Source organism: Homo sapiens, chromosome 10, assembly GCF_000001405.40.
Source record: "Homo sapiens chromosome 10, GRCh38.p14 Primary Assembly".
NCBI lineage: Eukaryota > Metazoa > Chordata > Mammalia > Primates > Hominidae > Homo > Homo sapiens.
This window is the reverse complement of record NC_000010.11, coordinates 90,527,185-90,541,092: the sequence shown is the minus strand read 5'-3', so window position 1 is coordinate 90,541,092 and position 13,908 is coordinate 90,527,185. Positions and strand designations below refer to the sequence as shown.

The 13,908-nt window shown below is 37.0% G+C and overlaps 1 long non-coding RNA gene across 1 annotated transcript in view; it reads left to right on the top strand.

The window, feature by feature from the left end:
• Window positions 1-287: 287 nt before the first annotated feature.
• The window catches only part of LINC02653 (long intergenic non-protein coding RNA 2653), a 138,285-nt gene continuing 124,664 nt past the window's right edge, over window positions 288-13,908 (top strand). The window contains exons 1-2 of the long non-coding RNA NR_110657.1: window positions 288-361; window positions 13,654-13,819. This is a non-coding gene — a long non-coding RNA (long intergenic non-protein coding RNA 2653). The remainder of the gene's footprint in view (window positions 362-13,653; window positions 13,820-13,908) is intronic.

Here is a 13,908-nt window from a genome sequence, read left to right as displayed (position 1 = left end):
CTTCTAGATTTTGGAATAGTTACATATATGTAATGAGATATCTTGGGAATGGAACCCAAGCCTAACCACAAAGTTCATTCATATTTCATATACACCTTATACACATAGCCTGAAGAGAATTTTATACAGTGTTTTAAGTAACTTTGTGCATGAAACAAAGTTTTGGCTACATTCTGATGGCAATTCATCACATGAGGTCAGGTGTGGAATCTTCTGCTTGTGACATCATGTCAGCGCTGAACATGTTCTGGATTTTGGAACATTTTAGATTTTGTATGTTTGGATTAGGGATACTTAACCTATAATATACAAAGGATTTTATATCCCCTTATAAATATGACATGTTCAACTATTCTGCAAGGTAAGCAAGGCTTAGATGAAATTAAGCCTCAGAAAACTTGAGGTTTTTCTCAAGGTCACATTGCTACTTGTTCATTGAGTCTTGTCTTCAACTTCAAACTCTATGTCCTTCCTCTATAGCTAAACTTCCTTTAAAATGTGAAATTACTTTATTGACTATTATTGGGAAGTTATTAGCCTCTGCTGCTCTGATGAGACCAGGAACAATCATGGAGATAAAAGGTTTTGAATCTATTAGTTTTTTATGGCTGTTGAAACAAGTTACTACAAACTTAGTGGCTTAACAATACAAATGCATTACTATGCAGTTCTGTAGGGCAGAAATCCAACACACGCCTCTGTCAGCTAAAATCAAGATGTTGGCAGGACGTCCTTTTTGGAGTTTCTAAAGAATAATCCATTTCCTTGCCTTTTACATTTTCTAGGGAAAGGCCTGCGTTTCTTGGATTGTGGCTCCTTTCCTTTATCTTCAAAGCTAGCAATGGCAGATTGAGCACTTCCAATATAGTATATTTCTAACCAAGGCAGCTGGGAAAGGTTATGGATTTTAAGGACTCATGTGAAGAGATTGGGACCACTGTATAATTTAGGGTAATTCCCCATTGCACATCCATACCCTTAATCACATCTTCACATTTCATTTGCCATGTGAGATATACTCATTCACATGTTCCTGGAATTAGGGTATGGGCATATTTCAGGGCTATTACTCTGCTCACCATATTGGATAAACTCTTTTCCTCCTCTTTTATTTACTTGGCATCCTAATAATTTTGATCTAAAATTTGATATGACATAGTATTACATTTGGTTCATATATTTTGAAAAATTCTAAAAAAAAATAGGGCAATAAGACAGTCATCATTAGGATATGACTGTAGCCTAAAGAAACTGGAACAAAAAAGAAAACTGTCAGTAGCCGGATGCAGAGTTAGATGTGGTTTCTGCCATACATTTGTATAGTTAATTCTTATAATTTTATTTTATGTGTATAGAGTATACAACCTTATACTGTCAAGCACCAAGCACTAATGAACCATGGCTTTTTAAAAAATCTGAAATGTATTTTACCCTCAGAATATAAAACTGGCCTTGGGTGGATATATGATGAAGAAAATTAAAGTAAATATAGTTGCAAAAAGGCAGTTATAGGCCTATCTCTCTCAATACCCCTCCCAAAGTATAAGCATGCTATTGACCAAAGCCAGATTTTCTATTTGTGGGTTCCCTTAAGATCCTCAGTTCCTAATAGCAGATCAACTGCATGTTTTCCTGCTAAAATGGAAATCTCTCTGTTACATAACAGGGACCTTCAAGCTACGTCTTCTGTACCAAGACCTGCAATCCCAACATAAATCCTGACATTCCTCCTAGTGTAACAAATCTGGACTTTAGATGTAAATTGTATAGAATAATCATTTGGGGTAACTGACCAACTGTAAGTCCAGTAATAAAACCTGTTTATAAATGATGTTCTATTCGGCCAAACATTTACCAACCCTTCAAGGGCAAGCATACAAGAGCATTGGATTTGATACTCGTGCAGGAGATAAATCTGCAGACATCTTCAACATGAACTAAGTTCATAAACAAAACCTTAAAATGTCTTTTATATAGCAGGTGTTCAGCATTCTTGTCTTATTGTATCGGCCTGGAAATCCTCCACAGGAAAAAATAAATTACCTCAGGACACTGTAGTCATAAATTCTTCATGTGAAAGCATGCCTTCAGTTAGAATCTCCTTGGAGCTATTTTTTGTTACTGCAGAATAGTTGGTAAACAGATTCCTTTTAAAAATAATATAATAAACAGAATAATAGACCAGTTTATACCCTAGAGTTTCTTAAAAAATCTGTGTTCGACTGAAGACAACATTTGGCTCCTTGTACTAGGAATGTGTGTGGCACATACAGTTGCATGGTCCTAAAGATCTAGAATTGAGGAGTCATAAATAAACAGGGCTGGAGATGATGTTTGACATTATAGTCAAGTGGTTCTTTAAGTACAGCTATATCTCACAATCACTTGGGGGAATTGTAACATTACAGATTCCTGGGACCTACCACAGGCCCACTGAAAAAGAATCTTTGGGAATAGCATCAGAGGACTGAAATATGCAACAAGAACTGCAAATTACTATTCAAAATCAGTCTCATTTACAACATTTCTGAAAATAGATTATCTGGTTTCTGCTTTGTCCATCTCCATTGATGGGAACTCTCTAGATCCTGAAGCAGCTTTTTCTATTTTCAGAACATATTACTTCTAAACATTATTTTTCAGCATTTAGCATCCAGTCTTAATCTGTTCTATATTCTCATCTGTATCACAGAGGCTAGAAAGTGCTAAAAACTATATTATCAAGATTTCCATGCAACGAAGGATCTGAATGTGACACAAATTTTACTGATGAGATGCACTTGCATGGGATTTAAAGGAAAAATAGAGGAAGAAGCCTCTTGCCTGTTGTCCTGATTGTCAGTGCTAGCCAGCAAGGATGTGATTTTAGTGAACAGCAGATTTTAGTGTTCATTTTTCAGTCTTCTAGATGCCAATAATTAGTGGGTGTAGTGGCCATTTCTTAACCTGATGCTAATCTCTGGATTGCTGATTCGGGTGTCCATTTGCCAGCTTGGCAGTGTTCATAGGCTGCTTCTCGGTGAATGGATAGCTCCAGACCTAGGCCAGCCATGGTGGCCTCAGGGGTAGAACTTTCCTTAGGGGGCCAGTTCTGTGTTGTTTTAGAGACATTGCGAGACACTGGCCAGGAGTCTTTTCCTTCAGCCCTTCCAACAACTTTGTAAACACTTAATTTCCTCTACCAAACCTCATTTATTTTATGAGAAAACTAAAGTTCAGGGAGGAAAATGACTCACTCACAATTATATAATTTGCTAATGGTAGAGACAAGATAAGAATTCAGGCCTCTTAACTCCCAGTCAAGTGCTTTTCTACATGAGCATGCATATCCAAGGGAAAGAAAATTCATGCAGGGTTTTCTGCATCATTTTGTAAGTGTGAAAGCTGTATGTGTGTATGTGTGTGCATGCATACCTGTACTCAGAGCATCCATATGTATCAGAGAGTTGGAGGAAGTAAATTCAAGTTTGTGTGACTGCACCTTGGTGTCTAATGCCTTTATATGGCAGTTACCACATATAAATAAAAAATTATCCACTACCTTCTCCTTTAATAGAATGATGTCATAGTGATAGAGCATTCAACCCTCAACATCTTAGAGTAACACATCTATCACATTGATATTCTTTTTATGCATATACCAGGATAGCAAAAGGGCAATGGGAAAGCAAGTAAAGTTTGAGCCTGAAGGAACGTCAGAGAAAATACAAGAAAATTCAGATCCATCAGTGACCTCTAGCACCTGTTTCATCACTTTCCCTTGACCCGTCTGTCTTCCCAAAGCAAAATTGATAGGTGAAATCAAGCTTCCATGTTTTCCAGTCGTTTATATAAATAAATTCTTAAATCCTGTAATTAAATAGAGTTATATGAGACACCTGGGATAACTTTTTCAAGAAAAGATTGGCAGATCTGGAAGGTGAGAAAAAGTAAATACCCCAGAGTAGAGGAAAAGCATGGATCAATAAAAGAAAGAAAAAACATCATGAAAAATGTTGAGTGGAAATGATTCCACTAATAATCTTTATAAGCACTTGCCCAATCTACTTTTATCAAGCATCTGTTATGTACAAGACACTGTAAACATAGATATTATGTGAGCTGTTGTTCAATGCTTTTGCAGAAATCAAAAGTTTCTGATGGTTCTGTAAAATATCTACTAACCCTAGTCAAGAAGAAAATCTGGCTGATGGGGCAAAAATATTCCTGAGTGAACCTGTGACAGTACCTATTGATCACAGCTTATTTTCTGAAGGACTTACAAAGTCTCTGTTTAATTATTCAGTATAGAATTTGGCCTGAGATCAACAATAAAATATCAGTGAATGATTTGCTAAATATTTGTTCTACTTTTGTAAAATCGGATAATTGTCTACTCTCTATCTTTTGTTACTTGTCTAATTCTATGTGAGTTTTAAAGTTTTGTTAGCATAGCTGGGTGCGGTGGCTCACGCCTGTAATCCCAGCACTTTGGGAGGCCGAGGCGGGTGGATCACAAGGTCAGGAGATTGAGACCATCCTGGCTAACACGGTGAAACTCCGTCTCTACTAAAAAATACAAAAAAATTAGCCGGGCGTGGTGGCAGGCTCCTGTAGTCCCAGCTGCTCTGGAGGCTGAGGCAGGAGAATGGAGTGAACCTGGGAGGTGGAACTTGCAGTGAGCCGAGATCGTGCCACTGCACTCCAGCCTGGGCGACAGAGTGAGACTGTGTCTCAAAAAAAAAAAAAAAAAAAAGTTAGCATGGATCAATAATTTAATTTACAAGTTTTCTCAGTACCCTGATTTGTAGTTAAGTAATTAATAAAACATGTATTTACTGAGGACTTTGTGCTAGGATAGGCACTGAGACATCAACAATGAATAGAATATAATGCTTATGCTCAAAGGTTTTACCTTCTGAGTGGTAATTAATTACAATAAATTGTGATTTTACACCAAGACAGCATAGCGTGTTGTAGGTGTCTACAGCAGATGAAAGTCCTCCTAGAAGCGGTGATAGGGTCACCTAGGCTGTATCTCACGTAAAGCAACTAAGAGGTCTTTTATATCCTTCTCACTTCAGTGTCCTTACGGCAGCACTAGTTCAGCCTTTTTTCACAGACTGTCATGCTTTAAAGTAGAGAAAAGCAAAGTAGTAAGGGGGAGAACTATTATTTTTTTTGTATCTAACCCTGTATTGTTTTAATCAGTGGTCTATCACATTTTCATCTTCTTGCTCAGAATATAGTTTAACTCTCCTTGTTACTTCTTTTATGTTGTTCTAAACATTTTTATAAGCCTTGATCATTAGTGAGTCTAACATTCTTGATATTTGGTACTGGCCTGAGCTATTCCTTTATAGTCATAGTCAACAGATCCTTCCTTCCTTCCTTCCTTCCTTCTCTCTCTTTTTCTTTCTTTCTTTCTTTCTTTCTTTCTTTCTTTCTTTCTTTCTTTCTTTCTTTCTTTCTTCCTTCTTTCTCTCTTCTCTCTCTCTCTCTCTCTTTCGCATCAAATGTGTAGGGATAGTCACTTCTCTGGAACAAAGTTCTTGCCCTCAAGGAGCTGACATTGTATGAGAACAGACAAAACCAAAGTAAACAATTAAAATATATGATATAATAGATGGCAGAAAGTGCTATGGAGATAAATAAAGTAAGGAGTAGACTTGTCAAGGGTGGAGGTTGTAATTTTAAACAGACGGCATCAGTTAGGTGGCATTTGAGAATGGCCTGGAGGAGGTGAAATGTTTCATTCATCTCATTTTTATTCTTGTTTCTATGCTCTTTCTTTCATCTTTTATACAGAACTAAAAACATTAAAAATGAATCATTGTTTATTACAAAATTTATCATAGAAAACAATAAAAACTACATATGAAAAAAAGAAAAATATGGAATACATCTATATTCCCATGATGTACATTGTTGATATGTTGTGTGTGTGCCTGTGTGTGCTCGTGTATAGCTGTGTACGTTCACAAAGATGGGATCAAGTATACTCTTTTAAACTGTGGTTTTCAATGACATTATGCCATGGACATCTACAACCTCATTTTGAATGATTAAACAAACTCATTTTGAATGATTAAACCATCACTTATTGTTGGAAATTAAAAATAACCCACAGAGGAGCATCCTTGTAATTACATCTTTGAATATAGTCATCACCGAATATTTTCTTAGGAGAAATCTATAAAATAGAATTGTTATGACAAATATATATTTCAACAGCTAATATGTATTTTTTAAATTGCTCTTCAAGAGATTAAAAAGAGCCCAGAGTTGAAAGATGGTGCTTAGGAGAAATGTGGACACGTGGGCCTGGGGACTCATATGGCAGTTGGTATGGGCTCCACTTCAAAGTGAAGATGAACCTTTCAGTGATCTCATTCCAAATTGAGCTGGTGGGTGGAGGCTGAGGACATAGATATAGATAGCTAAGAAGGCTCAGGCAAATAACTGGAATCAAGGAGGAACAAGCAGTTTCTCCTGTACTTTCTACTGTGAGCAAGACATGTTTCCCTTCATGAGTGTCCTTTTCATGGTTTTAGGAGATGGACATAATGGTCATGAAAGCTTATTTAAATATTTGTAATTACAGATGTACATATCCAAAGGACAAAAATCTCCATGTCAAAATACCTCGCTTGAATTAAATTGTTTTCCTTAAGCAAATGTAATTTTGAATACACTTAGCTTTATGATGACTTAAAAATGATTTGTTACTTGGAATTCCTTTGTCATAAAGATGTGAGTAATTTGTGCCTGTTAAGCCTTAACAATGATTTACTTAAAAAGTCTATAATTAGAAATTCATATAGTCCTTAAAATTTCAAACCAAAGCTAGTCTGAAAGACTGATCTTTAGAAATATGGTAAGTCCGTATCTCCTTTCTACTCGGCTAATCGCTGAGCAGAGGTGTGGGGAGGCTTTGATGGGAAGAAGGTTTGTTGTCATGGTCACCACTGATGAATTCTTATTTCTGAGGACCTCACAAACAGGAAACTGACAACTTTAAAATGACCTTTTGTAAGTGCCTTTAAGATTAGAGATGCTTTTAGCTTTGTCTGAAGCTTATATGTGAAATTGCCTTAGATTAAAGGCTTTTTGGCATTCTACTCATGACCTCCTGCACCTCCTCCCCACCTCTACCACTTGTTAGGATTTCTGGAGTTCAGATATTTCTTTGGAGACTGATATTGGGGAATGGGATTTATACAGATTCAATGAAAGCTACAGCCACTAATATGCACTCTGAACAGACATGAACTGTAACACTCATACTGAAGTGGGTTCTCTCCTGGCTGTAGTGTGTTAGAGTGAAATGAGCATTTAGGTCAGAGAAAATCTGGATTCAAATCTAGATTCACCATTTACTAAGTTGGCAACTTACTTATTCTCTCTGAGCCTCTATTTCCCACAAACTACCTGGCAAATGTGGGTAATAATACTTACCTGGTAACACTGTTGGAAGAATGAAAAGAAATGATTATACAAAGCCTCTGTCTCATAGTAGTTTCCTTTCTATTCCAACAAACATGGCTTAGAAGACATAAATATAGAAAAACAGTAAGATATACATTTTTCTTCAGGATCAGAAATTGTGCTTTCTAGAAAATTTTTTTGTCTTTCAGGATCTACCCCTAAAGCATTTGATTTTCCTATTTATAGTAATGTATCAATTATAAAACTTGCAAAGTTTTAATCTAGTGAGATGGATTTGATAACTGTCGTGACTGCTTAGATAAAAAATATTAACTGAGACAGCAATTCTGAGATTTTAAAAGAGCTAAACTGCAATGAAAGTGCACTAATGTAAAGATAATGTAGCTGTTGTTGCTAACTAGCATCGTAATCTGGTTTGCCACCTGTACTAATTAAAAAGATAGTGGTTCCAGCCAGTGAAATGGTATTCTTTCTTAGATGTCGGTAAAAGCTTAAGGAGACAAGAATTAAAAGGTCATAAAAATGTCCTAAGGGAACTAAATTAAAATAACACTTTACTAAAAATTAGAAAAAAAGTAGCCAAGAATCTCCTATTTTTAGTGATTTCTGTAAGTGTGTGTATGTGTTTGTGGTTGTGTTGTGTAGGCATTAGCATCTTTTCATGTTTATACATGAAAAGGGTGTTTATATACTGCATAGTCGTTAAGAACCCAGATTTTACGGTCAGTTTGGCTTCTAAACTCAGCTTTGCCATCAACTAAACATGCAGCCTTAGTGAAGTTTAACTTTCTGAGCTGCAGTTCCTTCACCTTTAAAGTAGGTATGCTAATAAAATCTAACTCACAAGAGATTTGGAAAATATAAATGAGCTAATGCATGTGAAGTGCCTAGCACATAGAAAATACTCAAATTTATTAGTAATTAGTCCCATTGTCATTAAATTGTCATTATTATTAAGGTGTGAGCATGGGCCAGTGTCAGCAATCTGACTTGTTAGTCAGATGTTAGTGCTGACACAGGCTAACATTATCCCGACTCTTTTGAAAACATTTTTCCCCTCTAAACTTCAAGTTCCTCAACAAGAAAATTCAAGGGGTGGTCAAGATAGTCTCTAAAACATCTTCCAGTTTCAAATGTTGCCCTATAATGTAAGAAATGTTACATGAATTTTTATATTTATTCTGTTAGATAATATGAGTTTTATGTTACTGAAATTTGGGCCTGTTGAGGTGAGCTTTTCTTTCTGTATTGTTTTTTCTTGACATTGTGTGTATGTTTGTGTATGTGAAGCCGCCATTGCAAAATTATAACTGAGGAAATTATGACAGTGAGAGAGATCACACCTAACCGACTCCATCTTGCTTGTAATCCTTAAACTGTCCTTGTTCATTCCTGAGTGTAGGCTGAATTAACTTTGGGAAGGAATTCAGTTCATGGTTTGATTCTGAACAAAACTGATAACAGCCCTTTCCCGAAAAGACCCCCTTCTTGCCTGGGGTCCAGTCTGCCTTTGCAGGACTAACAAATTAGCTACAAGAGTAGAAATTACAATTTAGGGGTCTTGCAGCCTCTGGCTCCAACAGTCTGAACATCCCCAAATTTCTCCTGGGGATAACATCACTATTGTAAAACCTAAGATCAGTGCTTGAGATATTTTGCAGACCTTACACTTGATGGATCAGCTGACACCACCTAGACCGGTAATTTGGCCCAAGGAGTTCTGCTATTGCACCCAGGAACAGAAAACATTAAGAAAACCTAACTTCGACCCCCTGTGATTCCATCTCCAACCTGACCAATCAGCACTCTCCACTTCCCAAGCCCCTACCTGCCAAATTATCTTTAAAAACTCTGATCCGTGCATGCTCAGGGAGACTGATTTGAGTAACGATAAAACTCCCCATCTCCCACACAGCCTGCTCTGTGTGAATTACTCTTTCTCCATTGCAATTCCCCTGTCTTGATAAATGGGCTCTGTCTAGGCAATGGGCAAGGTGAACTCATTGGGCACTTACATATGGATATGCATCCATGTGTTCATCCTTTGCCTTAGACAGAAAGGTATGGGGCTATCAATAACCAACTGTAGAATATCAGTTTTAATCATAAAAATTGTATGAAGAAGCCACTCTATTGGAAACAACAATTCCTTATTCTTTCAGGAGATTAAAAAGGCAAAGGTTTGGATACAAAGTACAGGTAGGAAAGTTTGTGTGAAAAGTGATAGATGGTTTATTCGTCCGTTTACACACTATTTTTTTTTTTAAGTGGAGTCTCGCTCTGTCACCCAGGCTGGAGTGCAGTGGCCCGATCTCAGCTCATTGCAAGCTCTGCCTCCCGGGTTCACGCCATTTTCCTCCCTCAGTCTTCCCAGTAGCTGGGACTACAGGCGCCCGCCACCACGCCCGGCTAATTTTTTTGTATTCTTAGTAGAGACGGGGTTTTACCATATTAGCCAGGATGGTCTCAATCTCCTGACCTTGTGATCAACCCGCCTTGGCCTCCCAAAGTGCTGGGATTACAGGCGTGAGCCCCCATGCCCAGCCTACACACTATTATAAATGCCTGAGACTGGGTAATTTATAAAGGAAAGAAGTTCAGTTGGCTCACAGTTCCACATGGCTGGGGGGGAGCTCAGGAAACTTAGAATCATGATGGAATGTGAAGGGGAAGCAGGCACCTTCTTCATAAGGTGGCAGAAGAGAGAGAGTGTGTGAAGGAGGAACTGTCAAACACATGAAACCATCAAAACTCATGACAACTCACTCACTATCATGAGAACAGCATGAGGGAAATGTCCCCCATGATCCAATCACCTCCCACCACGTCCCTCCCTTGACATGTGGAGATTATAAGGATTACAATTCAAGATGAGAATTGGATGGGGGCACAGAGCCAAACTACATCAGTTGGGCACACTGACAAACATGCTGAGGCTGAGGAGCTTTGTCTCAGCTGTGATACTTTTTCATTTAACATTTCCCAGTTGTTTAATCTTAGTGAGCTTTCACCTTCAGCTTCTGGAAGGCATGAGGTGTCTCGGTCATGGGATCCTTGAGATAAGAGGGAAAACAGGAAACAAATGGTTTTAGTGGGAAGCATTTCATAGACAACATTTTTTTCTCAAACATAAATTGTTTCGTTTTACTTTTACTTTTTAAATGTTTAATAACTCCTCTCAGAAACATCTTTCTTTGAACCTTCCATACGTGAATGAGATAAAATTTTAAAAATGAACAAACACTTACTGAACATTGTCCTATGCTGTTTGACCAACATAATCTCATCATATACATAAGCATTTTAAATAATATGGAAAAATGGAGACTTTGCCCAAGAAAAGGTAGTAATTGTGTTTAACATGCTATGTAGTTCAATAAGACAGTGACCTTGGGGTCCCTGTGCTGTGTCTGTGTGTGTGTGTGTGTGTGTGTGCATGTGTGTGCATCTGTAAAGTTTTTTCTAGGATCATTCCTCATTTATCTGTGTTTCAACAGCAAATGTAGAAAATATTATTATTATTAATCTGTGCATGTCCAACTCTATCAATTTCAAAGTAGAAGAGCTCCAAATCTAGATAATAATGCTTGCTTCTGGGTTTGTGGGTTCATATGAAGAAAATTAGTAAAAGTCTGTATACCTTGTTGATCTGCATAGAGAACTTCCACAATGTGTTCTACCTTTCCTCTAGTTCTTTCCTTCTGGAAAGTTCTTTCCTTAAAACAGATAAAAGAAACTTTTAGGCTTTTCTAATTTTTGGTTCTGAAGGCAGAACACCTGGGTTTAAATCCAAGCTTTATTGCTTACTAGGTTTGAAATTTGGGGTAGGTCATTTCTTTGTGCCTCAATGTAATTACCTGTAAAAGGATAATTGTAGGAATTGCTCTACTGGGTTATGGTGAGGGTTAAACAAGTAATACCTACAGAGTGCTAAGAAAAGTTCCTGGAACATGGTGCATGCTTACTGAATGTTATGTTACTACGCATGCGTACACACCACACCCACACACACACACACACACAGTGCAACCTTTACTATATCTGAAGGCCCCCTTTTCTCATCAAGGTTTCATTTAGCCACACAGAATATTAAATAAGATCACTGTCTCTCCTTGGGTAAAGCTTCCATGTGTTTTATATTATTTAAAATACTTAACTATTTGATGAGATTTTGTTGTTCAATGACCTTAGTACAATGATCAATAAGTGTGCATTCATTCTTTTCATTATATCTCATTCACATCTGCAACATTCAAAGAAAGATATTTCTAAAAACAGTTATTTCAAATATAAATTAGTAGATTAAAGGTAAAAAATTGCAGCAAAATAGAATGTTCTGTTTTTATGTGATTCAGTTTTGTCCGAAACAACTTTGAGAGTTACCTAAATGCACTTTGTTTACTCTCATTACCTTCCTTGCTGTCATGGTGTATGTTCCAAGTCAAATCAAGACCAATGTGTCTTGTAAGCAGAGTAATGGCTGTCTAAAGATGTCAATTTCCTAACCCCCAGAACCTGTGAATATGTTACCTTCAATGACAAAAGGGACTTTTCAGATGAAATTAAATTGAGAACTTTGAGATGAGATGTTATCTGGGATTATCTTAGGAGGTGCCCAATGTAACTACAAGCCACTATAAGAGGGATGGGGGAGGGTCAGAGTCATAGAGAGATTTGAAGATGCTACAGTGCTGGCTTTGAAGATGGAAGAAGAGGCCATGAGCTAAGGCATGTAAATGGCCCCTAGCAGCTGGGTGGAAGAAGATAATGGATTTTCCTCTGGAGCATCCAGAAGGAACACAGCCCTGAAAACACCTCAATTTTAGGACTTCTGACCTCCAGAGTTTGTAAGATAATAAATGTGTGTTGTTTTAAGCCATGAACTTTCTGGTAATTTGTTAACAGTGGCAATAGGAAACTAATATGATGTGGTAGTAGCTTTGTTCACCTATATTAAAAGGGATATTTTAGAGGTTCTGTAAGTATTATGAAGAACAAAATTTTATTGTCAATAATTGCATTTTGTGGGTCATTTAATGTCTCAGAAGATTTTTATTCTTACAACTTTTTCATCTTCCCTGGGGCAGTTTTATGAAGCTATTTATTTTTTGGATGACATGTCATGTTTAAAAGTCTTTTTCCCCAAAGCATAAAATGGTCTAAAGTGTCCCTTTTTATGGTCTAAAGTGTCCCCATTTTCTCATAATACTAAAGTAAAAATTTGCATTTACTAGAAATAATATATTTTTACTAGTCTCCAGAGATGAGATCATACACTAAATAATACCCTGGCTTTGAAAGGGACAACAGTCTATGATAAAATACAGGAATTGCTTTCTTATGGACCATTCCTTTTGGATTTCCACACAGGGCTCATGTGTTCCTATTTGCCTGAGCATAAAGGAACCACCCATTTTGTTGACAGGGCAGTGTAGGGCATCAAACTGTAGCACCTGAAGCACATATTTGAATGATGGCTTCGCATTGAAAATTTAACTCTATGACATTGTTATTCAGTTACCATCTGTATTCAGGTACCAGGCTACCTAGATAAACAGAGAGTTTTAATTTAATGCATATTATTAACCATTTCACATTCCTTTCCTATCGGATCATGACAAAACCATTTGCAAACTAGACTTAACTAAAGCTACTGAAACAGAAAAACTGGATATATACTCTTTGTCATATTCTTATTTTTCTTCTGCTTTTAAAAATCTCAGAACACAAATCCTTCTTCCTTTTTGTTTCATCTTTGGCCTCATGTTGTCAACATAAACATAGAGTTTAAAGTTTCAACCTTGGTCTATACAAGGCTGTAAGTTCAACACGCTGACAGAGGTCCAGTAGGCAACACATATAAGTGTTGCAGGCAGTGACCAGGAGTGGTGAACTGGAGCCCACAGACTCTCTCAAAGGGATTAACTGCTCCCCAGCCCCAGACAATTTTTGGCATGTTAAAACATAGGTATAGTATTTCCAGAAATCTTTTTAAAGAGAAGCCAGAAATCAGTATTTTTATTTGATATCTCTCAATTTTTAAACTCTGTAGAACAGACCTAACTTTGTTAGCATGGATTCATCCTGTTTCTATAATATTATAAGCTGACCTTAGATTATAATAGTTCTATTTCATGTTTACTGTATATATATATATAATATTTTGTATTTTCTCTTTTTTTTCCTCCTGGGGCTTCATTTATTTATTAATTCTTGGAGGAGTAGAGGGACTATGGAAACCCCTAGAAATGTCACTTAAGGAGAATCTGGGGGCATTCGGGAATAATTATTTGAAAAATTGCAACTAGAGAGAAGGAGGAGTAAAATGGTTGACGAGAAGCTTTCACTAATTATCCTTCCTGCTGGAACACCAAACTGAACAACTATCCACGTAAGAAAGCACCTTCATAAGAACCAAAAATCAGATGAGTGATCATAGTACCTGGTTTTAACTTCATATCACGGAAAGAGGTACTGAAG